Genomic DNA, 27,538 nt, shown 5'->3' on the forward strand with positions numbered 1-27,538 from the left:
CACAAATTCCTATGTTGAAACCTAATCTCCAATGGGACAGTATTAAGGGGAGCCTTTAGGAGATGATTAGATGATGATGGAGCCCTCATAAATGGGGTTAGTGCCCTTATAAGAGAGGCCCAAGGGAGCTCACGGCAAGAAGGCACCAACTCTAAGCCAGAATAGCAGCCCTCACCAGACACCAAATCTGCCGGCTCCTTATCTTGGACTTCTCAGCCTCTAGAACTGTTAAGAAACAAATTGCTACTGCTTATAAGCCACCCAGTTTATGGCAATTTGTTACAGCAGTCCAAATGGACTAAGACACCTAGGAAGCACTAAAGCTGTTATCCTAACAATGTGCACTGTGCATATTACTTAAAACATAACCTTTTCTGTGTGCATTCTCTTCGAACATTTGGACATGGGAAAATACCTTAAATTGGTGGCCTTCCTAATCCAGTCTGCAGCTATATTTGGTTTGGGCCCAAGTTAAAGACAAAATCCTAACTAAAAGCCAGATTTCATTCAAAAATCTAGATTTCCAGCTGCTTTTGAAAAATATGAATACCAAGCATGGGAATAGTCAGCCAGAGTGGTCACCAAATAATTTTCACTCACTCCAGTTTGCCACAGACCCCTATCACTCATCCTATTACACCCTCCCTGCTGTGATTATTTACCTTATATGCCTGCCTCCCATATTTGAATATTTTACCCCACTGCAAGGAACTCTGCAAAAAAGAATTATTTTTCTTTTAAAAAATCAGATTGAACCCCTTAAGAAGTTATAATCATCTTCCAATAATTTTATCTAACTACAGTAAAAACTTGCATGTTAAAACTAACAATTTAGTCATGTACACAAGTAGTACCAAGTAACTCAAGTACTTTCAAACAGCTAAGTAGTCTGCAGAGGAGATTTGGGGCAGATTCGGGTTGAAATTAGCTGTACAGTTACAGTTCCAAGACTTCTAATTGTACAGCTTTGGTGAAATGACCTACCTAAACCATCTAAAACTATTTATTCAGCTCTCAGATAGAGTCACCTTCTTACAATGCTACTTTGAGAATTATTATAGCACCTATATGGTGCTAAATTTTAGTTCCTTCACTTTCAAAATTGTAAGCTACACCTGTAACTTTTCAGGTAGAGCTTATAAATTTATTCCGTATGGTTTTATAATAAAACTTATTTGTCAATATGTAGCTAGAAAGATTACTGAAAACTTAACTCAGTGACACATAAGTAACCAAAAAACATTTGAACAGAAAACTGCCATATCTAAGTCAAAAACAAAGAATGAGAACACATACATGTTCTCATATTAAAATACTAGCACCTACTTTTTTAGTATTTGTACTTAATTTTGTTTGAAGTTTTATTCACTTAAAAGAAACAAAAACATGGTCAGGCATGGTGGCTCATGCCTGTAATCCCAGCACTTTGGGAAGCCGAGGGGGGCGGGGGGGGGTGGATCACCTGAGGTCAGGAGTTTGAGACCAGCCTGGCCAACGTGGTGAAACCCCGTCCCTACTAAAAATACAAAAAATTAGCCGTGCATGGTGGCAGGCGCCTGTAATCCCAGTTACTCCGGAGGCTGAGGCAGGAGAATTGCCTGAACCGGGGAGGCAGAGGTTGCAGTGAGCTGAGGTTGCATCATCGCACTCCAGCCTGGGCAACAAGAGCGAAACTCTGTCGCAAAAAAAAAAAAAAAAAAAATTATATTGATACAGAAAGTTAAATTAAACCAGTAAATTTTTACTATAGAAATTGCTGTAGCAAAAGTATTAAGTGCAATAAAAATTTGATATAACTCTGCTACACATTTAAAAATTATTCCTATATTACCATGGAACTACTGATTACCCTTAATGTACTTTTAAAAACTTCAGTGAAAGAAGTACACAATATATGATTTTATTAATAAATAGTGCAAAAGCATCAGTGATAACTGTTTGAACATTAAATTTTTTAAACAGCCATGTCTTGGCATTAGTTAATATTGTGCATATTGGCCTCTATGGCACTACAAGTAAACAGATGAAAATATTGCCCATTTTCATGCACAGGTATTCAGCTATAACACCATTTACAAATCATTATGAACAAGATAAATTCTGCAATAATATTCATTTGGATGGCCACAATTAAATGAGTGTTATATCAAGAAATAGCCTATGTTCAATATACTCCAGATGTCAGATTGTAAAATGTAATGTTATTTAAAACTTAATTCTTTATTTTCCTTAAAGGGACACCTTTTGTGTATTTGGGTACTCAAATGAAAACTTAGGAATGCATTCTTTGACCATAATAACAAAATTCACACAAAAGAGGTTGTATGCTTCCTCCTCTAAAAGAAGCAATACATTTGCTCATAATCTCTCTCTCCAGGTATCATTTCTCATATTATTAATGAAAATGCTTACAAGCACCAACACCAAAATTCTGTCTTCAAGGGAAGGTTACAAAGTTAAAAAAGAGTGGTTCATTATATAAAAAAAGACAAATCGTGGCAACACTATTGCTAAAAATGACATCGATTCAACTTCTTAGCATCCACAAAGTATATTATTTCCATGAGTTTTCTATTATGTGGAGATTTTCCTTAAGAAGTAAAATGAAGTTTGAATAGTACAGTCTGTGGGGTGGTGACATCAGCAACCGCCAGTTCTTGTCCATCAACAAGCCCCAATTCTAAAACAGAAAAAATATTATTAATACAAGCAAAAAAAACTCAACAGAAAGGATAATACACATGTAAACAAACTACAGAGTATTACGGTCTAGAAAAACATCAAAATCCAATCCTCTTTAATCAAAGTAATATTTGATTTCTTAGAGATTTTAAAATATTCTACTAAAAGAGCAATTAATTCTATTAATATGTCTAAAGTTGTAAGTAATTATTACCTGACCATATACAAGGCATTAAGAGGAAATCTAGAACAAGCACTGATTACTTTCACCAAAAAGAGAGAAAAGAAAGAAAATGATTAGTAAATACCCTTATGTAAAATACCTTTCAATGTTTTGGAGAGATTTGGCCTTGTTCGTTCTTCAATAGAGGTTACCGACTAGAAAACAAAATTACTTTAATGTAAGACACATTAAAGTAAAATAAAACTTGATATAATTTTCTGAAAAAAATTTAAAATACACATTGATAACCTGTAAGTAAAGTGTTCTATTTTTTCCCTCTAGGGTGGCTGTGATGGCTGGAGATTTCATTTGCCTAAAGATTATGATGAGAGAGAAGTATCAAACATAATTTTTATCAAAAGATAATTTTTTTAAGGTTTCAAAAATCACAAAAATGATTTTTACAACATAACAAAAATCTACAATACTTACAGAGAAGCACTATTGGTTAGATAATCCAAAACCTCCTGTAGTTTAGCTGATGGAGAAAACTGAATATTTTGAGGAAGCTGGCTACAAGCTGGGCAGTTTTCCTACACACATAATACACAACAAATTACAGCAGCACATGCACCAATATTAGTCTCTTTTATGAACAATAAAATAAAAATCAGGTTGTTTTATAATCATGCATATTTCCTATAAAAAAATTTTTATGCTTTAAAGCCTGCTTTTCATAATAGACCATTTCTTGTAAATTACTTCGCTATAGAGTTATTTCAGGCTATAAAGCAAAAGATATATAATAAGTAGAGTTCTGGAAGTTAGAAAATGTATGGGTGACTTTGTTCAAATTTCTAACCAATAATATTTAAAAATCAAAATATGCATGATCAAAAATGTGTTCTTAATACTACTAACCTTTCTTTCTGCTTCAAATGTGTATGTATACAGCCCATCTACATCATTAAACACCAAGTAATTATTCAAGGGAATGTATGCACTGTAATGAAAAAATGTTCATCTTTATATAATTAAACCAAGTCAAAACATAAATTTACATGCATATTAAAAATGAAACCTATTACCTTGTGGCTATTTTAAAAACCTCAGTGGCACACACAGCTGAAGGGAGGAGAAAATACAGGTGCTTTAACTCAATGGAAATTAGGCATGTTAAAAGTCAGTTATAAATCAGAACAGATAAATTTACATTGGCTCTTCATTAAAAAATACATATTCCAATTTTTAAAAACTGAGACAGTAACAAATTTTACATTGTTTTGTGTGATTCATGTAATAGAGTAACACTACATGTTTTTCTTGTTTATCAGATTAATAAATGGCCTGCTTCATATGGAACTAAAACGTCTCTTTACTGCAGGTAACTTAAGACATAATGTAAGACAAAAAATATGCAAAGTCTAATAACTGGTTCTTTTTCGACAGCTTAGTTACACAACCCATCCAAGAAGATATCAAATTCCTACAACACAAAAAAGCTGCAGCAACGTCAAAAACTAAAGAAAGCAAAATAAACTAAGTGATGGCCTTTTCTTCCTCACCTGCAATGACTGCATTTGTGGAAGCTACTGCAGGAATGATTCTTTTTACTACCCCTGAAAAAACATATCAATTAAAATATGGTCATTTCTTTAAAATAAAAGAGTTCTCTTAAATTAGAAGGCATGATTATTAAATACCATTTTCTAAAACTTGATTTTTCAGACTTTCAAGCCAGAAAATAAATTTAACCATGAAACAATCTTTCACATCCCCATCACTTTGTAGTAAATTCAGAATCTTAAGCTACAGTAGCAAAGAAAACTCTCTCAAGTAAGTGCTATAGAAAGGTGAAACAATAACATCATAATAGTTAACAATTTAGAGTATTATGTTCCAGGCACAATGTAAAGACTAAATATTATTTAATTTTCACAACATCTTCATGTTAATTACTCTGATTTTAAACATAAGAAAAGTGAGACTGAGAGAAATTTAGTAATTTATCCACAGCTATATACTTAGCAAGAGGTGGGGTTGGCATATGAACACAGATATTAACTGATACACCATGAAGAATAAGTGTTATCTAATTATTCCTGTAACAGCTTCAGTCACTTGATTCACAAACATTCAAAAAAAAGAAAAGCTGCCCTTTATTATCTTTTACTCTACAACCGAGGCTACACAAAATATTAAATACAGTTCTCTACTTCAACCCCACATTTTTCTTTTTTTTTTTTTTTTTTTGAGACAGAGTCTCGCTCTGTCGCCCAGGCTGGAGTGCAGTGTCGTGATCTGATCTCGGCTCACTGCAAGCTCCGCCTTCTGGGTTCACGCCATTCTCCTGCCTCAGCCTCCCAAGTAGCTGGGACTACAGGGGCCCGCCACCACGCCTGGCTAATTTTTTGTATTTTTAGTAGAGATGGGGTTTCACCGTGTTAGCCACGATGGTCTCGATATCCTGACCTTGTGATCCGCCCGCCCTGGCCTCCCAAAGTGCTGGGACTCACATTTTTCACATCAGTATTATTCACATATTAGGAATAAACAAAGCCTCACCTTAAACCATTTTTTAAAAGTACAAAATAAATACTCCATTTTATAACTATATTTGAATTGTTCATTTTAGAAGACAAAAACTTCAAGAAAAAGTAGCCATTTTATCTCACAGTGTGAGGAAACACTGTAAGATGTGTTCCCAAGACTCCAAGTATAGTCAGGTTTCAAAAACTTAAGGAAAAACAGCAAGTAGCTAAGAAGACATGAAAGAAAGACAGTTACGAAGGCTGGAAAGCTTTTTTAAAAAGTTGACTGTGACCATATGATTCTCTATAGTTTTGGAGAAGAGGAAATTTAAAAAGAGATAAACTGCATGATGGTTAAACTGGAAGCTCTCCACTGAACCACATGTAGCAGGATGTACTGAAAGGAGGAAGTGGTAGACACAAACAGTGAAGCGTGTAAGAGACACTGCCCAGTAAGAACATTGCCAAAATGATGAGGACTCCCCTCTTTCTCCAACCCCTGCCACCCATACCCCTGCCCTTCGACCAAAAAAAGCTAGAGTGGGCAGAAAGGCAACTTTCTGTTATACTGAGAACAAGGGGAAAAATCATAGAATAGATAGAACCACTGGCTTGTGCAACTTCACTTCCAATTCTCCTTCTGTACTCCTTGTTGAGGCCCTCATTCACCAGCCTAGAAAGTACACACCAAGCCCTGGTAAAAGGTAAAGAAGGATGGATGAGACTACATATTAAAATGGGGAGTTTACAGTTTCTGGTTAGAACACACTGAATTCGTTTGTTAATTCTAACAATTAGCAAATATGTGTAACACATGCTCCAGACACTGTTCTAGGTGTTGTGCATAGTAACAATGAAAAAAAGTATCTGCTCGTATAGTGATTTCATTTTGATAGGGGAGATAACACAAAAGTAAATACTTGGAACACCTCAGATATTGAAGAGTTCTATGAAGAAAATGAGGTATGTGTTAGACTGAGAATGATGGATGCAGTCCATTAGAGAGAATGGTCAGGGAAGGCCTCCTTGGAGAGGTGATAACTTGAGCTGAAACCTAAGCCATGAGAGAGATCCAGCCATGCAATTACCTGAAGAAAAAGCTGTTTGTAAACAGCAATGGCAATGGTCCTGGTCCTGGGGCAAGGATGTAAGATAGTTTAAGTGTGAAATATTCTTTGCATAGGAGAATGAGGCTACCATTAATCAGTTCTGAGCAATTACCAAAAAAAATAGAATGGTGAATGGCTCAGAAGTCATTTTAGGTTGAATGATTAGGAAAACTGGTTAAGCAGACACCTAAGAGATGAGGAGCCAGCCTGAGGGGATCCAAGGAAACACCATCCCCGGCGTAGGAACTCGGGAGTATTAAAGCTCTAAGGTACAGAAGAACTTGGTGTGTTCAAGGAACACAAAGCAGGTCCGTGTAGGGAGAATGCAGAGGGCAACAAGGAGTAAGTATAAATGGAATTTTAAAATGACATTACTAGATCAGTAAATGTAAGGAAATAATCACAGGAGAGAAATGGCAGATTTTCAAAAAGAAGACAAAGCTCATTCTGGTGAACCTGGTAATGATCTTGGGCAAAATTCTAAAAAAGGAAACTATAACTAGATTGGAAACATTGATCACTATGATTGAGCATGACTGGTTACTAGACAAATCATGTTGGAGTAGCCTCATTTGGCTACTATGACTAACTTAGCAACTCAGGAAAATGCAAAAGATAGCATACCTAGGCTTCAGTAGAGGATCTGGAAAGGTTTTTCATGACATCCTTGTGAACAAGATAAAGAAATACAAAGTACCAAGAAGGTCTGATGAACAGAATGAGATAAACCTAAAAGGGCCTGGCCAGAAGTATGATTCAGATGTCTGTTCTCAGAGAGTTCAGTCTTATTAAAAATTTTCATCAATTATTTGAAAAAGAAATAAAGGATATAATTATCAAAACAGGTGAAATGAAGCTAGAAACACCAGGTAAGTTGGCAGAATACATATAAAGAGAGAAAAACAGGTTGAATTTTAAGAATACATTTGTAAGGACCTATACTTGGATATTAAGAAAAACAAAAAAAAAAAGACACTCCCCAAACTGCCAAGTTTATAATAGGCAGATGTGGCTTAGCAATTGCATATGTGGACAAAACATCCAGCTTTCAGTGGCTAGTAACATCAAAGAATCCAAAGTATAGCATCAATGTAAACAAAAAAACAACAACATAAATACCTGCTCTCCTTTAAGACTGCATCAGTTATCAGAAGTCTATTATCTAAAGTTAAGACCAGTCCCATAATGCTGCATGTTGGCCTGAACAATTAGGAAAAGTTGTTTTCTCTAACTATATTCCAGTTAACCAATATGGATAGCTGGAATATGGTTACAGAAAAACAACATGAGAACCTGAAGCTGTACAACATATCAAAGGGTTGGATATAGTTTGGATATCTGTCCCCTCCAAATCTCATACTGAAATGTGATCCCCAGTGTTGGAGGTGAGGCCTAGTGGGAGGTGTTTGGACCGTTAGGGCAGATCCCACATGCATGGCTTGGTGCCCTCCCTGTGATATTAAGTTCACGCAAGAGCTGGTTATTAAAAGAAGCCTGGTATTCCCTCCTCTCTCTCTTGCTCCCTCTCGTCATATGACATGCCTTGCCATCCCCCTTAGCTTTCACGAGTAAAAGCTTCCTGAGGTCTCACCAGAAGCCAAGCAGATGCTTTTGCCATGCTCACACAGCCTGCAGAACCATGAGCCAAATAAACCTCTTTCCTGAATAAATTACCCAGTTTCAGATATTCCTTTATAGCAAAGCAAAATGAACTAATACAGGGTTAAAGGAACTAACTAGGGAGGTTTATGGCACTGATAAAAATTTGCAAAGGATGTGATCACTGTCCTCAATATGTTAAAAGCTATTACTTAAAAGGGAATTAGACTGTATACAGTACTGGGACAACAGTCAGACCAAACTGAAGACGATTTCTATTTTGAGACGAAGTTTTGCTCTTGTTGCCCAGGCTGGAAAGCAGTGGCGCAATCTCAGGCTCACTGCAACCTCAGCCTCCTGGGTTCAAGTGATTCTCCTGCCTCAGCTTCCTGAGTAGCTGGGATTACAGGCATGTGCCACCACACCCAGCTAATTTTGTATTTTTAGTAGAGACAGGGTGTTGCCATGTTGGTCAGACTGCTCTCGAACTCCTGACCTCAGGTGATCCGCCTGCCTCGGCCTCCCGAAGTGCTAGGATTGCAGGTATAAGCCACCGCAGCTGACCTGAAGACAATTTCTGTTCAATATATAGAATATTTGTCTAACAGTCCTGTCCAAATGTGAAATAGACTGTCTCTAAGAGATGATGAATTCAGTGGAAGATAAAATGGACAGTTTGACTTGGATGACTTATAGCCTAAGTAAGTAAGATTCAATAATTTTATTAAATTCCCCCTAGCTAATAAGTAGTATGAATTACATGGTACCTTTACTGAACTTCAAGTGGATGGTACTGTCTAAACTCACTTATCGATTATTCTCCTGAAAGCATCCCAGCCCTAAGTCATCCCAACATCATAATTCATGACAATTTGCTGACTTACCTTGAGTGAGCCTATACGTAACACCCCTAATATTATATTGTGATGCTCTCTCTAGGGATTTTTGGAAAATCCATTGTATATGTTCAGGATCATCTCCATCTAATGGAACCCCTTCTGTTTAAAAAAAAAAAGGGAGAGAGAGAGAGAGAGAAGACAGGAATACGTAATCACAAAACAATGTTTTTAATGAAATTATCCAAAGGAATAATATAGAAAAAATATGTATTTTATGTAATTCTAGATTATTAAATTAGGTTTATTACCTCCAAAAGGCTGCTCCTTAGGCCACTGCAACATCCTTACATACTCAATACAGTGTTCTGGTAGCCTGGGCATAGATGCAATGGTGCACATGGGAAAATTAACCTAAAACCACAGTTTGTCCTTTTCAGTGAATTTTAAACGAATTATTTTAAAATGCAACTTCCAGTTATGATCTAGTTCTTAACAATTTCATACAATTTGTTTCAACTCAAAATATTGTATACCATTAAAAATGCCTCTCAAACTATAATACAGATTAACTGAGTCACTTCACTTAGGCTGCACTGCCTGTAAAGACAGGTTTGCCCTACATTTACAAGGTATAAAATTTAAGCTTTGTTAGACTATGAGAAGAAAAATACTGAACAGATTTTCTCAAATATGAACACCTTGTTATTTTTACCTAATATTTAAGTATAAAGCAAACCAAAACAAAAGCAAGTTCAGAGTTAAGTGAATCCCAAGTGAATACTCATAAAATTGTTTACATTTATTATTCAAAATTTCAAGTGTTCTTTAAAGTGGATATGTAAACCAAAAAGCCCCATCCTTGGAAAGATCATTCTTATCCCTGGTATCTTTATTTCCCTGAAATAAATACAGGTGAAAACCACATAGATTACAGCTTGACATCAATATACAACTTTGTAATTCTACTTGATACCTACTCCCCAAATAAAAAATACAAATAAATTATGAAAGCAGAATAGTATCAAAACAATGTACTCGGTTCATATCTTTCCTCAAATAGAGCAGAATTTCATATTTTATCTTTCTTCTTAGTGTAATTTTTAAAATACGGCCACTTCTAATTAACAATCCTAAATATTAACTAGACTTAATAATTAATCCCTAATTCCATGCCAAGATACTATAAAAGAAATGCAGGTGCTTTTTTGATTACCTGTGGTGGATAAAGTTCCAGCGTGCATTCGATACAAGCAGTCATTCCAGGCAGAATCACCCGGGCATTTCCTTTAAAACCTTCTGTCCCCCCATCTATCAAAGGGACAATGGAGCTTGGATCTAAGACACCATCTTCATAATTTAGAAGAGATATCTAGGAAAACAATTTGAAGGGCTTTAAAGGAGAAGGGGATAAGAATTCAAAAGAAGAAGTATGCTTTCAAGTAATCCTATGAGTCGGTTGTGCTATTGAATACCAATGTATCAAATCAAGGGATTATAATAACAATTTGTGTCTTCACCTGAAAACCAATGACTGGCAATAAACAATGAAGTAAATATACTTAATTAAAAATTAAACTCTGATTTTTCAAAAATATATCAATTCTAATTTTGGGGATGTGAAGCACAGCAGCAAGAACTTCAGAGAACTATAACAATACTAAAGTCTTTACCAGCATGCCATTTATCCATCTTCTGGCGATGATAGAGTCCAGTCCACATACAATAATATGAAATTCTACAAAAAAAAAAAAAAGCAACTTTAGTTTTTAAATATGTAGTTGCATGATGATCTTTCAATGTAGATTCATCAACTGCAACAAATGTACCACTCTGGTGCAAGATGTTGATTAGGAAGGTAGTGTGTTTGTGGGAACAGGAAGCTCTATGAGAACCCAAGTTTTCAAAAATTTTCTGTTCAATTTTGTTGTGAACATAAAACTGCCCTAAAAAATAAAGTTTACTAATTAAAAAAAAAAAGCACTTGCAGAAAACAATTTGCACGTTCTAAGAAACCAACAAAAAAACCACAAGCACTTTTTACTGTAATCCCACATACGTTCTCAGAGCTCCAATTCCTTGAGTGAACTCTCATTCAGGTAAGCATAGAAACTTGTAGCTGGTCATGTCAGCTAAAACTAGCATTCTCTTTTCAGTCTATCAGCAACATTACTGAAAAGCCAACAGTGAGAGAGGAAAGCAAGTGAAGAAATAGCCTTGAAATAGCTAGCAATATTTGAATAGCTACCAACTAAAAAATTCTAAGAATCTAGTGAGCATTAATTTCAAGTAAAAAACTTACGTCGATAGAAAGTGTCGTTAAAATCTTGAATCTTGTTGAAATGTCTGAATACAAGTAAAGGAACTTAAGCAGCTAAGTTTTAATTTCTAAAATGAATTTGACAATGCCATAAGGAACACACTCTGCATATATTTACAACAAGAAATAAGTAATCAATGTTCACATCAGTGGAATTCAAGGAATCTGACTAAATGAACACAACTCTCCTTTCTGACAAAACTTTTCTGCCATTCCTCCCCTAACTACTTACTTTTTCTCATTCCTGAACCCCTATATCATTATATTTATGCCCTTGGTAGGAGGTATACTTTCTACTTTGCTTTGGTTTTTATATAAAACCATAAGCCCCAGGAAAGCAGAATGTGTGTCCTCAATCATCAGCATCAAGAAGAGATGCAATAAATGTTTTAGTGAAGGAAAGATGCACATTATAGTTCCTATTTTGCTAGGTGATTTTAAGAGTTACTGCAAAGCTCATTTTTTTAACATACAGAAAATTTCAACAGCTTTTTCAGTTGGTAAAGATTTTACTGTTTTTATTTTTTGTGGGGAGGAGAAAAAGTACGAATTTTTTCTACCTTTCTCATTTAACTCAGTTTTCAAGTTACCCTACCAAATCCTATTACCAGTCTTCCCATCCCTGGAGGCTAAAAAGGAAACTCCATTCAAAACTGATTGTGGGTGAGTCAATATAGCACTTAATGTTTTAATAGCACATGTGTGCAAAAACTTGTTTTAATTTTTCTAATGAATGGAGCAATTGTTTAATAATTTATAAATTATGCAACTTCTCTAAAGTTAAGATAAATAGTCCACTATAAATTTTTTAAAAGCAATACAGAGAAAAAAGGGACAATACATAGAAAAAAGGGACAATACATGCTTCCTCTAGATTTTTAATTCTTGCCTACAAATAAAGCTATGAACAATAATTTCAATTCTAGCCCTCAGTCATTCAGACCTCTATTCCCTTTGAATGCTAGGCAAGCAGGAGAACGAAGCTACAGCTAGAAAGAGGTCAAAAAAGAAACAAAGCAAACAGTGGAGGAATGGCAATCAGGGAACCAAGAGCCAGACTAAGAAATCTAATCTGGATTTCTAGAAAATACCCAAAGTTTCCCAGACCCACATAATGGGGATAGACAAACTGAGTGCCCCCCACTAACCAACCCACCCCCACCAACTCTTCCTTTTTCCCTACAGGGGCCTGTATTTGCATTTTTAAGCTCTTTATTTTGAAATAATATAGATTCGCAGTAAGTTGCACAGATAGTATAGGTAGGTACCATGCACCTTTCCCAGTTACATCTTACTATAGTACAGTACCAAAACCATGAACAGAACATTGGTACAATGTGTGTTTATAATTCTGTCATTTAAACACACATAGATTTGTGTAACCACCACCCCAGGCAACACACATAACTATTCGACCACAATAAAGATCTCTCTGCAGCCTCCACATCCTGGGCTTAACTGATCTTCCTGCCTCAGCCTCCCACATAGCTGGGACTACAGGCATGTGCCACCATGCCCGGGTAATTTTTCTAGTTTTTACAGAAATAGGGTCTCATTTGTTGCCTAGGCTGTTCTCAAACAACCAGGCTCAAGTGATCTTCCCGCCTCAGCCTCCCAAAGTGCTGGAATTACAGGCCTGAACCACCACACCCAGCCATCTCTATAATTCTGTAATTTCAAGAGTATTATATAAACAGAATCATGCAGTATATGACCTTTTGAGACTGGCTTTTTTTTTTTAGTCTAATAGTTGTGTAACAGTATCGCTCATGGTGGTCTTAGTTTGATGTGAAACATCTTTTCATGTGCTTTTCGTCATCCTTTTTAGTAAAATATCTCTTCCTATCTTTTGTCTATTTTCTAATTGAATTTTTTTTTGTTTTACTGTTGAGTTTTTAGAGTTCATTATATACTCTAGATATGAGTCCTCCATCAGATGCTTTACAAGTATTTTCTCCAGTCTGTGGCTTTTCTTCATCCGTTTAAGAGGGTCTTTCACACAGCAAGTTTTTAATTTTGATGAAGTTCAGTGTATCAATTTTTTCCTTTTATGGCTCATGCTTTTACAAAAAATTATTTTAATTTTTTAGAGATGATGTCTCACTACATTGCCCAGGCTGGAATGCAGTGGCTATTCACAGTATGACCACAGCCTACTATAGCTTCAAACTCCTAGTCTCAAGCAATCCTCCCACCTTAGCCTCCCAAGCAGCCAGGACTCTGTAGTGGTATGATAAAAGCTCACTGCTTCCTCAGTGATCTGCACCACCATACCCCACCTTTTACAGGTCTTGCTTTTGACGTGGCCTAAGCACTCTCCACCAAACCCTAAAGTTCTATCGTTTTATGGTTTTTTGTGTTTTTTTTTGTTTTTTTGAGATGGAGCCTTGCTCTGTCGCCCAGGCTGGGGTGCAGTAGCGCAATTTCAGCTCACTGCAACCTCAGCCTCCTAGGGTCAAGCGATTCTCCCACCTCAGCCTCCTGAGTAGCTGGGAGCCACTGTGCCCGGCTAATTTTTGTATTCTTAGTAGAGACGGGGTTTCACCATGTTGGCCAGGCTGGTCTCGAACTCCTGACCTCAAGTGATCCACCCACCTCGGCCTCCCAAAGTGCTGGGATTACAGGCATGAGCCACCACGCCTGGCTCATTTTATATTTTATATTTACACCTATAATCCATTTTGAGTTAATTTTGTATGTTTAGGTCAAAATTCATCTTTTAACTATGGATATGAAATTGCTCCAGTACGATTTGTTGAAGACTATGCTTCTTCCATTGGAACTGTTTTGCACCTTTATCAAAAACAAATTGGCCATACTTATATGGGGCTATTTCTGGCTTCCCTATTCTGTTCTAGTCATCTATATATCCCTCTGGTAACGCCACTGAGTCTGGATTACTATAGCTATATAAGTCTAGAATTTGGATAGTGATTCCTCCCACTTTCTTTTTCAGATTTGTAGTAGGTATTCCTTTGCTTTTCTATATAAAATTTTAGAAGATCGTCTATATCGACAATTTTGCTGGGATTTTAATAGAAACTATGGTATATATGTATACAAATTTAGGGAGAAATGACATCTTTACTATATTTAATCTTCCAATCTTTGAAGATGGACTATCTCTCCATTTATTTAGATTTTCTTTGGTTTCTTTCATCAGCATTTTGTAGTTTTTCACTATATAAATCTCTTACTTATCTTGTAGTTTACATCTAAGTATTTATTTTTCTTTCTAAGCAGTTGTAAATGGCATTGTATTTTACATTAACTTTCACAAGTTCACCGGTATGTTGATTTTGTATTCTGTGGGACTTTCTACATAGAAATCACATCTTCTGACTTTCTATAAAATGCCAAAAGTTCTCCAGATCTAAATTCAAACTACAGTGTAAATACTCCTTTTTAAAAACATATTTCTTGTAAAAATAAATTTACTGTGATGTACCTTCCATTTGGCTAATACTATATTGACTGTCTACTCTGTCTGCTACTATAAAGAAACAAAGATTAATTGGATCCAGCCTAGGAATTTACACTCTAGTAAAGGAGATATGTAATTGATACTGAAATTAAGGGCAATAATGCAAAATAAAGTAGATGATGAAACAGGCTTTATAAACTTAAGTTAAAAATCAGGGCCCAAAAAATATTTATATAACCATACAGAAAAGACTGGAAGAATAGATAGCAAAATGTTACCAGCAGTTATCTCAGTAATAAAGTTACTACTGCTGACTTTTTTTCCCTCTTGCTTATCTGTATTCTCTGTTAAATATCTCTTATAATAAAGGAAAAAAGCTTTTAAAAATTAAGTAATTTTCTTTTTGTCAAAAGGATACGGAACTACATTGCAATTAGGAACTCTGTCATTTAGAAATTCTGCAGCAACTTCAGCCTTAGGTCTTCCAATATCTTTAGGCCTACAGGAAAAATATTTAAATTATAATTCATATTATAAATCTATATGATCTACATAACTTATTTTCAAACATAAAAGTAAATTCACAGTAAGTTTACTTATAGGAAATTTAGAAGGAATATTTTTGCCTAAGTATTTTGATTTCAGTAATAACTTTTGGTAAACGGTCATTTAACCTTAAATGTCAACCCTTGCTAATGGTCCAAATTAACATAAGTCTAATTAAGTATTGCTTTAATTAAGAGAAAATCTGAACAGTGTTCTTCCTCCCAGATAAAGCATAATAATGCTATGATTCCTGGCCACTTTCCACTGTAAAAAATTATCCCACTCTTAGAGCTCAGAACCTTATGGTGTTACTCCACAGGTCTTGGCTGAAATATACACAATAAGATTCATCCTTGGGATGCAAGAACCTTCATTTAACCCCTTCTTCCTGTGTGTGCTGATTAAGCAGCAAATTTTGTGTCCCCTAAGAAGCTGCATGAAAAAGAAAAAAAAAGAAAAAAAAAATTTCACTGGACCGTATATAAAATGGAAAAAAAAAAAAAAAAGAGGCTGTAACCACGTTTTTTTCTTTTTTCTTTTTGAGACGGAGTCTCACTCACTCTGTCACCCAGGCTGGAGTGCAGTGGTGCGATCTCGGCTCACTGCAACCTCCGCCTCCCAGGTTCAAGCAATTCTCATGCCTCAGTCTCTAGGGAGGTGAGATTACAGGTGCCTGCCACCACAACCAGCTAGTTTTTGTATTTTTAGTTTTGCCATGTTGGTCAGGCTGGTCTCGAACTCCTGACCTCAGGTGATCTGCCCGCCTCAGCCTCCCAAAATGCTGGGATTACAGGCATGAGCCACCATGCCCGGCACCAAGTTTTTAAAGAAAGAATAATACCAAAAGTGTCAGCTAAAATTGCAAATGTTACTATTACATCACAGAAGCTGAATATATAAGGCCTCAAAAGGTCACTCTTAAAACAATAACCACACATATAGATAGGAAAGGATATGAATTTCCTCCTCTAAGTTCTATACAAATGGTATTTTCTTTCCTAATATTTCCATATTCTCCTCAGAGAAATCACTCCATGTATATAATAAGAACATTATTACTTTTTTCGTAACATATTTGCTACATACACGTCTATCATACCCACTAGACTATTATTTGGATGAAAGTGACCATGTTCTTACTCTCTTCATATTCCTTCCTACCTAGCACACAGTAAATACTTTTAAAATAAATGAAAATAATAAATCGTGTGCTTATTAGAAAAAAATCTGAAATTTCAAAGAAAAACACTTTAGCATGTCAATTTTTCTTTTCTTTTTTTTTGTTTGTTTGAGACAGAGTCTCGCTCTGTCACCCACGCTGGAGTGCAGTGGCACAATCTCGGCTCACTATAACCTCTGCCTCCCAGATTCAAACAATTCTCCTGTCTCAGCCTCCAGAGTGCTGGGACTACGGGCATGAGTCACTACGCCTGGCTAATTTTTGTATTTTTAGTAGACACAGGGTTTCACCGTGTTGGCCGGGCTGGTCTCGAACTTCTGACCTCAAGTGATCCGCCCACCTTAGCCTCCCAATGTGCTGTGATTACAGGCATGAGCCACCATGCCAGGCCAATTTTTTTTCTCTCCAATAAAGCACTGTTCTTTTTTGATTCAAAACTTTTGGTAAATGTTTTATCTTCACTTTGTACTAACTTACATAAAAAAGGCCCTGTTATAAATCAAAGAACTTAATTTCAGTATTGCATTCAATGGCTCCACACACAGAAAGCTCTTTTGGTTTGTAAAAGGGATAAAGTAGACTTCTAAGATTATTTTAAGTAATATATTCTATGTGCTTTTATGGCACGGCCCAAACAAAAGAACTCCTAGATGGTTTCTGGGAACTGTTTGTTAATTTACCATTCCAGGATGAAACAATCAGATTGCTCCACCTCAATAAAATGGCCTTTCACACACATCATCCTTGCAGGACACTCTGCCCAAATTATTTAACCTTGAACACAAGAACCTACCCTGAGGTTGCTGAGATTAAATGGAATAATATGGATAGTTTAGAAGTACTTGCTACATATCGTTATTACCATCTTCAACCATTTTAGCCACAAATTAAAGGGTATGGCCTGTATCAATAACAAATCAATTCAGTGGTATCTTTTTCAGAGAATTCACAACTCAAAATTTGACAAGCTGGACAGAGCCCACAAACTTTGCTATAGAGAAGGGAAATTTCAAAGGTTAAAAAATAAACAAAAAATAAAGCTTAAAAGTTAAACATTAAGGGTCACACTGCAATTACAACACTTCATTAACTTATTTTAATCCATACTTCAGTCCCATTAAGATCTTCCACAAAGATAATGTAGAGGTTTTATGCCTATCCAAAAACTTAATGTTACCTTTTTTGCTAGCTCAACTTTATCCTATATACCCAGAACAATTTGAGCACTGTCAGTAACAGATGCAAACTTCCTAAATAGAGAGAGAAAAAAAAAGTCCTTATCTCTGTGTATCTTTGACTAACAAATATACACTTTTACCTAAACTACTCAAACCCCTCAATATTACATACTAAATTCATGAATGAACATTTCTTCATGTCTGGATACATGGTCTACTTCAGTTTTTGTTTTTTGGGTTGTTTTGTTTTTGTTTTTGAGACAGGGTCTCGCTCTGTTGCCCAGGCTGGAGTACAGTGGCATGAACACAGTTCACTGCAGCCTCCAGATCCTGAGCTCAAACGATCCTCCTACCTCAGCTTCCCATGCAGCAGGGACCACAGGTGCACACCCGGCTAATTTTTTAATTTTTTTGTAGAGACGAAATCTCCCTTTGTTGCCCAGGCTGGTCTGGATCTCCTGGGCTCAAGCAATCTTCTCACCTCAGCCTCCCAGTGTTGGGATTACAGGTGTAAGCCACCATGCCTGGCCTCTACTTCTCTTCTTAAACTCATCTTTAACAAATCACTCCTTGATGTTCTCTATATTCCATATATGCCTAAGGTAACCATCCCTCTTTGTTCCATTCCAATTGGTTCTGGTTTTTCTCTCCTCGACTTTCCATTTTCTTTCCCCTTGTAGGAAAAGCTCAAACTCTTTCCCAACTTTATTGCTCCAGTCACCATTCAAACCTTGGCTCACAAATCCCTGCCAATCTCTCACTAGGGCCTAATACTCCAGCGAGTATTCTCTTCTGACATCAACTGGAGGAAGAGCTACCGTTCTTTCCTTTCTTCAGAGCACAGTTAACCTGAGGATATTCCCAAAAATCACATAAACCTTTGGAAGGAGACTTCTTCGAAAAAACAAAAACATGTATTTGTTTACATAACTACTATCACCAAGATGCCCAAAATTTTCTTACAAAACTTTACCTACAATGGGAATGGTAGTTTTTGTTTTTTAAAATAAAATTAGTATTATCCTCTCAAGTCATTTTTAAAAATTATTAAACTGCAATGTACAAGTTCAAATGATTATCAGAGCTTAAAAAAAGAAAACCGCTAAGATATTAAAACTTACCTAAATAAAAACTGCCTATTTAGATTGGAAACATCTATAGTGTCCATATCTATAACATGAATCTGTCTAAAACCAGACAAGGCCTGTGGGAATAAAAACAATCCAATTAAGCAGAAGTTTCCTCACATTTAAAAACGTAACATTTGTTTTCAATGTAGTCTTAAGTCTACAAATTCTCAGTAATAAATTCTGTGTAATTTGTATTCAATGGCTGAAAGACTCTTGCAAGGTATATAAAATTCAGAGTTCTTGAACAGGTCAAAAGTGTACAATCACTCAGTTTCAAATAATCTATAACCAAAAGAGAACAACTCAAAATTTCTACGGATTGAAACTATTTTACATATATATATAATTCCATAAACACATTTGTAAAATTTGTTGCTTTGCTGCTATTGATGGATACTTTAATTTTACTATGCTTGCTATTATTTTTTCAAAATATTGTTAAAAGCAATTCTACAAGCTTTATTTTAGTTTACTTAATATTAAGCATGCCACAATTCAGAAATGGTAACTATTATAAGACATATATTATAAAAACACACACATGGGTAGGCTGTATTTGTAAAAGGAGTATCTTAAAAGATATTGAATCAAGAGCATGCAATTTAAAAAGCAGGGAAAGGCAAAAAACAAAAAACCTGTTAGGTTTCCATAATAATGCCATGCATTCTGAACAGTACAACCACATTCAAATTTAGCAGCAGATGCAAAAAACTGAAAAAAATAAGTCTCAATAACTAACTTTTCTGGTCTTGGTCAGTTTACTTCGATGATCAAATAACTTGACAATAATTTCCTCATTTTTCTGTCCCCCTATATACCAAGAGATCTTCAAGACTTATCCATATTTGTGCTTTCAAAGTCCTGACTGTTCTCAAACTCCACAGAAACTGTACTTGTCAAGTTCACCAATAACCTCCGTGTTGCTAACTCCAATGACCAATTCTCAATCTATCTGACCTTACCTTTCTGAGGTATTAGGCTGGGTGGGTCACTTCCTCCACCCTAAAACATGTTCTTCAGTTGGTCACCACACTCATGAGAATTTAAACACTTTTTAAAAATTGGTTTCCAGTTCATTCAGTTTTCTTCCTACTTTACTGGCCAGAATTCGGAGTAGCCTTGTGCTTTGTTCTGGTGATCTCAGACCATCTTGTAAGATATAGACCATCTAGCAGACATCTCAGACTTAACAGTTTCCAAAACCAAACTTGATCACCCTTGCTCACAACAACCAAATCTGTTCTTTTCCAGATCTTCCTCATTGCAGTAACTTCCTCATTGCAGTAACTCCATCTTTCCAGGTGCCCGCCCCTAGAGCAAAAACCTTGTTGTATCATCCTCGATTCCTTTCTCTCACAGCACACCACCAATCCATCAGCTAATCCTGTTGATTCCATCTTCAAAATATATCCATAATCTGACCACCTGTCACCACATCCAATGCTACCATCCTGTTTCAAGTCACGTTGTCTCTTGTCTAGAGGACTATAATAATCTAATTAGTCTCTCTGTTTCTTCCCCCTCTCTGCTCTTCCCTTAGTCTATTCTCAATGCATCAGCCTCAGTAACCTAGGTGAAAAGCCAATCAAGTCTCTCATTGCATAAATCTCTCCAATGACTTCATGACTCAGAGTAAAAGCGACAGCACTTACAGTAACCTCCAAAGTCTTTTGTGATATCCACTCCAAGCCCCTCCATCTCCCATTATCTGTCTGATATGGTCTCCAAAAATGCTCCCCCAACCCACTTCTGCTCTAGCGATGATAGCCTCCTTGCAGTCCTTGAACAAACAGGAGTGCTCCACTTCACAGCTTTGTACCTGTTATTCTCTCTAACTAGAATATTCTTCCTACAGATAACTGTATGGCTCATTTGCTCACCTTTGTACTCAATAGCACCTTTTTGTAAACCTTTTCCCTTCACACCATTTGACATACTATATACTTACTTTTTCATTCAACTAAAATGTGAGTCCCACCAATGCAAACACCTTTCTGTATTTGTTCAATGCTGTATCTTCAGCATCTAAAATGGTGCTTGGCATATGGGATGGAGGCTCAATAAATATTTGCTCAATCAGTAATATTAGTATCTTTTTTTTTTTTTTTTTGAGACGGAGTCTCGCTCTGTTGCCCAGGCTGGAGTGCAGTGGTGTGATCTCGGCTCACTGCAAGCTCTGCCTCCCGGGTTCACGCCACTCTCTCGCCTCAGCCTCCCGAGTAGCTGGGACTACAGGCACCTGCCACCACGCCCGGCTAATTTTTTGTTTTCTGTATTTTTTAGTAGAGACGGGGTTTCACTGTGTTAGTCAGGATAGTCTCGATCTCCTGACCTTGTGATCCGCCTGCCTCGGCCTCCCAAAGTGCTGGGATTACAGGTGTGAGCCACCATGCCCAGTCTAGTATCATATTCTTTTTTGTTAGAATGAGCCTTTAGGGGGCTTACAATGAATTAAATAAGCAAAACAAGGAGTAAAATTGAAAACCCTTAGTTTTCTTCTTTTGTGTAAAAGATTACTATAATGCAATAAAGAAGAGGTCACTCCTTAAAGTTGCTTGGTGACTAATCTTCAGATCTAATCTTCAATTATTTTACACTTAAAATTAGTAAATGTCACATTTGCAAATAATGGCTTCAAAATTTAATAAGCTTTAGGAAACTTGTACATTTATAATACCTAACAAAAACCAATGCCCATCCTCCATAAACCCTTTCCTTCTCTAAGTCTTTGGTTCTCACACTGCTAGAGTATTTATGTTTGATACGGTACTGTCATTTTGGCATTCCACCACAGAGTATATCATGCATACTGCTATTTATTTCATGTGAGATTTATCTCCCCAATGAAACTTCAGATTGATTGAAGACAGAGACCACGATGACATATAATCCCCACAGAACCCAGCAAGACATTAAATACAGTGAAGTATATTTAAGTTTTTACAACTTCACTCAAGCGACATTAGTGTTTCTTAACAAAATTAATGTGGCTATGTTTATATTTAAACTTTAACCCCCTTGGCCAATTATTTGGGTCCTCCATCTGGCTGTGACCTGCTTTATTTTCTAAAGAGTCTATTCCAGCATTTCCACTTTTCTACACAGCAGTGAGAAGCCTAGCATACAACTCTAAACCAATTCTGCCTCTACTCATTTGTTACATAAACTCATTAAAATTTATAGAAAGCGACTTTGTGATTAGAAAAAGTCAAGGAAACCAATTAATTAAATCAAATTATATACTTAATTTATTTCTAAATATATGCAAATAAGTTCAGTAAAGGTTTAGCTTTCCCAAACCTTAGGTGTCCACAATCGTCTTATTAGGTCATAAAATGACCTAATGGTTCACTGAAAAAGAACACTTAACTAAGAACTGATGACCTGGATTCAATTCCAGGCAAATCGCTATAATCCACAAAAACTTCAGCAACTCAGTCAACATCTCTAAACCTCAATGTCTCCCTCTATATAAAATGGGGTAATGCCTTACCCACCTAGCTGGGTTATTTGGGGAAGCAAAAGAAATAATAAATTATTTGAAACTATACATTAAAATATGAATTGCCAGTTTTGTTATTTACTTCATTGAAGTTAGGAGCGTTTTGCCAGAGGAAGCACCAAAAGTTGTTTGTTAAAGATCAGAGAAGAAAACTGAAGTATGAAATTTTATCAATAACTTTATAGCTGAGAGCTTTAGAATTTAAAAAGTTCCAAAGTTCTACCATTTTAATTACTGTTTGGAATTTGGCATGCTAAACTTATCTAACAAAGGCTCAAGAGAAAAGGTTAAGAATCACGAGAAATTCCCTAGTATGACAGATAAGTAAGGTTTACTTATCACAAAGAAGAAAAAAATATTTATATATATATGTATATATATTACCAGATTTTTCAGGAGCTCACATCCTAAGCCGCCAGCTCCAATGACTAGAACTTTACATGTATCTAACAAGAACTGGAGAGACTGTAAAGAATGGAAAGGCATATTAAAAGCTGGGTGATAACCGCAAAGACTATAAATAAAGCAACAAACTTTAAAATAGTTTCTGATGTTTCCAGGAAAAAATGCCACTAGGATAAAGAGGAGACTTTGTATTTGCTCAATTATTTGAAATTTGTGAATTCTATTGAACCAGGAATTCTAAAACTCTAATGATTTCAGGAAGTTTCAATGTTAATTTTTCTTTTTTTTTTCTTTTTTTTGAGACGGAGTCTCGCTCTTGTCACACAGGCTGGAGTGACTGATGGGATCTCGGCTCACTGCAACCTCCGCCTCCCAGATTCAGGTGATTCTCCTGCCTCAGCTTCTCGAGTAGCTGGGATTATAGGTGTGCACTACCACACCTGGCTAATTTTTTATTTTTAGTAGATACAGGGTTTCACCATGTGGGCCAGACTGGCCTTGAACTCCTGACCTCAAGTGATCCGCCCGCCTCAGCCTCCCAAAGTTTCTTGGATTACAGGCATGAGGTGCCGCGTCCGGCCATTAATGTTTTTAAATTGCCTTTTATTGTATGAAAGTTAAAGGGTATTTTTAACAAGGAAAACTATCTCTAATTTGTTTTTTAATTTTTGCAAAGGGATAGAGAACATCAAATTCAGTTAACTGACTTCCTAAAAATATAAAAGTTTAAAAATTTAAAAAACAGAGGATCAAGCACTGCCCAAAGTGTTTAAAGGAGTAAAACAATAAGGTAAAAAGAGTAACAGGGCTGGGCACTGTGGCTCACACCTGTAATCCCAGCACTTTGGGAGGCTGAGGTGGGTGGATCACCTGAGGTCAGGAAAGACCAGCCTGACCAACATGGTGAAACCCTGTCTCTACTAAAAATATAAAAAATTAGCCAGGTGTGGTGGTGGGCGCCTGTCATCCCAGCTACTTGGGAGGCTGAGGCAGGAGAATCACTTGATCCTGGGAGGCAGAGGTTACCATGAGCCAAGATCACACCATTGCATTCCAGCCTGGGCAACAAAAGCAAAACTCCATCTGCGGCAGATGGAAGGGGAAAGAGTAACAGCTGCTTTTTTTTTTCCTTTTTGAGACAGGGTCTCACTGTGTCACCCAGGCTGGAGTGCAGTGGCATGATCAGAGCTCCCTGCAGCCTCCACCTCCAGGTGCAGTCAAGCAATCCTCCCACCTCAACCTCCTGAGTAGCTGAAACCAAAGACATGTATCATCATGCACAGCTAATTTTTTTTTCTTTTCTTTTTTTCTTTCTTTTTTTTTTTAGAGATGGGTTCTCTCTATGTTGCCCAGGGTGGTCTGGAACTCTTGGGCTCAAGTGATCCTCCCGCCTTGACCTCCCAAAGTGCTGGGATTACAGGCGTGAGCCACCTTACCTGGCCAACATCTCCTTTTGAATAAAGTGAGCGAAACTCACAAAACATGAGATAACACGAAAACATATAAAACTCTTAGAAAATTCCTTATCAGCAGAAATACAATCATTTAACAGAAGTAACAATCTTAAATTATCAGGCAAAAAAAAAAATTTAGAAGCACAAGAAAATATGGTGTGTTATCTAAAGAAAGACAGAATTAATACTTTCAATTCTTTTTCTTTTTTTTTTTTTTATTTTTAATGCTTTCAGTTCTGCCCAGCATTAAAGGAGAAAGTTATTCACATGAGACACTGGGCCAAACCAAGAGTTTGCACGTTAATTTATGGGAGTAACACAATATTTCTATTTCAAAATACTATCTTTTTATAAATACAAAAGCACATAAAGATGTGCTATACTTTTCCCTACCCTGTAATAAAAAAAAGTGACATATAAGTGAACACTTGCCTTAAGATAGACACTATCAGTCCAAAATTCTACGCCTCTATTATTTAGTACTTACATAATTCTTAACATGCAATTAATTATACTCAAAGCTAAGATGTTCATTCCAACTAAATTTCAAAATTTAAGTAAGCACACCTATACTCCTATCAAAATTAATTTCTCACAGTAGCACTACAAAAGGGGAGTATGTTTCAGAAAGCATTTTAAATTTTTACATGAGGTCATGAAGTTAGATTTTTCTCACAAAAATTTTCAACTTATATTACATGAGAAATGTTAAGACTCAAATATTCAAACAAAATCAGTTGTGAATATTCAATCTCATATTTTAAGAAAAATTTAGTTTCACAAAACAATTTTATTAGTATTTTCATTGTAAGAGCAAATTAAAAAAGAAGCATTCTATTAGTTTTGAAACATAAAACTATTAGAGCAGTTATTTAAAAATAAACGTTTCTCACTTCAGTGCTCGGTTCGAAATCAGGGTGTGTGAAGGGTCCAGATCGCTCGAGGAACTTCTTTACATGGTTCCAGCGACCTTCCCAGTCTCCAGTGTCCCCACACCCACCATCAACAGCCATTCTGCACAGAACACAGTAAATTCAGCTGCAAAGATCAGTATGAAAAAAACCACACCTACAACTATTATGGTATCCCCAAATGAAAAGGTAACCACACCAGACCTGCTCAAATAAAAAGGAAAATATTCAATGTGATTATGTTTATGCTTTGAAATTTTTTCTTGCCTATTATACAATTCATTTAAAGTTAAGAACTGCACGTTTCTATTTTTATTTCACCCAATGGATGAAATAAATCAGTCTACATGTTTTTGGTTTCCTAAAGCAATCCAAGGTTCAACTTAGGATATTGGTCTATTATGTGAGAAATTGACTTCTCTACATTTGGTATTTACAAAAAAAACACTGCAAGCTTCCTCAATCTGTTGTTTCATCACACTTGCATTAGGAAATATGAGATACAACAGAGAAAAAAAGTCACACTTTCAGAATTCTGATGCTTATATGTCTGATGCAAATTTAATATTTATGTGTCCTTTCCAAAGGTGTAATCTAAAAATCACTTTGATGAGAGGAATTTTCACACACTTTTCTCAGAAATAAGGTTATTTTTTCTTTTTCTTTTTCTTTTTTTGTGACAGAGTCTCACTGTGTTGCCCAGGCTGGAGTGCAGTGGTGTGACTGCAGCTCACTGCAGCCTTGCCCTCCTGGGCTCAAGTGATTCTCCTGCCTCAGCCTCCCAAGTAGCTGTGCCTACAGGTACATGCCACCATACCCAGCCAATTTTTGTATTTTTAGTAGAGACGGGTTTCGCCATGTTGCACAGGCTGGTCTGAAACTCCTGAGCTCAAGTAATCCGTCCACCTCGGCCTCCCAAAGTGCTGGGATTACAGGCATGAGCCACCGAACCTGGCAGAGGTCTTAATTTTTTAAAGAATCTCTTAATGCTGTGGGACGGCTTTTCTTGCCACTAAACACAAAGTTTCAGATTACAATTACGCCACAGATAGACATCTACAAACCTTTTAGAACATACAACAGAATAAGGTGGGACTCCTCTACAAAATTCATCTATTTTATACTTAGTTAAGATTCACGTTTGGTTGTGATTATTTTTAATTTTCTAATTTCCTATAACTCCACAGTTTCTACCGTCAAATATATTAGTAATATCCAATTTTTACAAAAGGGACCAAGAAGTATTGCCTAGCAATAAAAACCATACGTTTTGATGTCAGAGTTGTGTTGGGTTCCACAATTAACAGCACTGTGACCTTGAGCAGATTACTTAATAGACATAAACCTCATCTGCAGGCCGTTCATAGCTACTTCTTTCAGCCATGAGGATATAGATAATCACACAGAAGACTCAGTACAGTACGTGGGATATGGTAAGCAATGTTTAATTGTGATTTCATGTAAAAGTGGGAGGGAAATAAAAGGCAGGAAAGAATGTGAAATTAAGTTTGTCATCCCGGTCCTCTTGCAGCTGAAATTCAACTGAGGGACACACATAAAGATCAAAGCACTGCTACTGGGAATCGGCACGGAAATTTACAAACTCACCATAACCAATGCAAGAGTATTTTTTCCCTGCCCAGGCAGGGAGGGGAGTAAATTATGTGGCGCTGGCCAGGTTAGAAAACACTTCGATTAAATCTGTCTCACCAGCATAGAATTAAGCATCTGATAAGAAATAGGGTGTGTAGTAAAAGGGATAAATAGGCTGTTTGAAGTCAACAACCTCTTTCCAGATCTTTTAAGAGCCAATTATTCTGCCAAAATGACTGGAGTGCTTAGTACAATACCTGACATGTAGAGTTATCATTAAAAGTTTGCAATTAGTACTACTGTCTCAGTGTTTGCAAAAGGCCACAAAACGGTCTTGTGTCCTTTTCCTGTGTGTTTAAGGTAGATTGCCTTTTCACAGGGTCACTGCTCTGACAATTTGGGATGGAGGAAGAGGAGTGCACAAGGGTCCTTCCTCAAGACCTTTACGTCAAGCACCCCGGAGGGCCCCTGCAGGAGCTGGGGCAGTACAGCCTGGCCCCGACGCCCGCACCGGGCAGATACCGGGAGCGGCCCGCCAGGCCCCCGGGGCTGCGGGGCGGGGATCAGGGGATGAGGCAGCGCGGCCTGCGCTCCGGGTGTCCCCCTCCCAGCCCCCCGGGCCCGCTGCGGCTGGTCCCCTAGGCCTGGGGTGGGGGGAGGCGGGGGTCCCCGGAGAGGGCCCCGGCCTCCCGGCAGCACTAACTTCTCAGCCAGCAGCTCCTCTATTCTCCTTCTTTTCTTCTCCCTAAAAGAGAGAATAAAAGAAGGGTCAGCATCGCGCTACACACTGGGCGCCGCGAGGGGAGGGGGGCGAGGGGACGGGGCGGGGGGTGTGGGGACCCCGGGTGGCGGCGGCAACCGCCCACCGCCGCGCTCTCTCACAACCCAGCCCAGCCCGGCGCGTCTGCAGAGCCCCGGTACTTACGGCTCCTCGCCATCCGCCATATTGTTCTCCGCCTCTTCCCAGGTGCCCAC

At 37.1% G+C, this 27,538-nt stretch overlaps 1 protein-coding gene across 4 annotated transcripts, besides 2 other annotated features; it reads right to left on the reverse strand.

Moving 5' to 3' along the window:
* Positions 1-1,884: 1,884 nt before the first annotated feature.
* On the reverse strand, positions 1,885-27,528 carry UBA3 (ubiquitin like modifier activating enzyme 3). 4 transcript variants are annotated; one of them, NM_003968.4, is made up of 18 exons: positions 27,489-27,520; positions 27,267-27,308; positions 24,953-25,073; positions 22,585-22,665; positions 18,690-18,772; positions 15,083-15,163; positions 11,223-11,266; positions 10,594-10,658; positions 10,137-10,292; positions 9,232-9,334; positions 8,969-9,082; positions 4,411-4,464; positions 3,934-3,970; positions 3,767-3,848; positions 3,338-3,438; positions 3,155-3,218; positions 3,006-3,060; positions 1,885-2,680 (listed from the first exon to the last, which is right to left on the reverse strand). In NM_003968.4, exons 1-18 carry the CDS (start codon positions 27,506-27,508, stop codon positions 2,592-2,594), a joined length of 1,392 nt encoding a protein of 463 aa, NP_003959.3. In that variant the 5' UTR covers positions 27,509-27,520; the 3' UTR covers positions 1,885-2,591. The 4 variants fall into 4 exon arrangements, with proteins under 4 accessions (NP_003959.3, XP_011532512.1, NP_937838.1 ...); XM_011534210.2 differs by lacking the exon at positions 22,585-22,665 and having other exon boundaries at positions 27,489-27,528; NM_198195.2 differs by lacking the exon at positions 27,267-27,308.
* Positions 26,999-27,228: a silencer, noted in NCBI's record as "silent region_14516". NCBI's record gives its function as "represses an Ori minimal core promoter by ATAC-STARR-seq in GM12878 lymphoblastoid cells {active_cell/tissue: GM12878}" and the evidence as "EXISTENCE:reporter gene assay evidence [ECO:0000049][PMID:35858748]".
* Positions 27,349-27,438: a silencer, noted in NCBI's record as "silent region_14517". NCBI's record gives its function as "represses an Ori minimal core promoter by ATAC-STARR-seq in GM12878 lymphoblastoid cells {active_cell/tissue: GM12878}" and the evidence as "EXISTENCE:reporter gene assay evidence [ECO:0000049][PMID:35858748]".

This window comes from Homo sapiens, chromosome 3, assembly GCF_000001405.40.
Source record: "Homo sapiens chromosome 3, GRCh38.p14 Primary Assembly".
Classification (NCBI taxonomy): domain Eukaryota; kingdom Metazoa; phylum Chordata; class Mammalia; order Primates; family Hominidae; genus Homo; species Homo sapiens.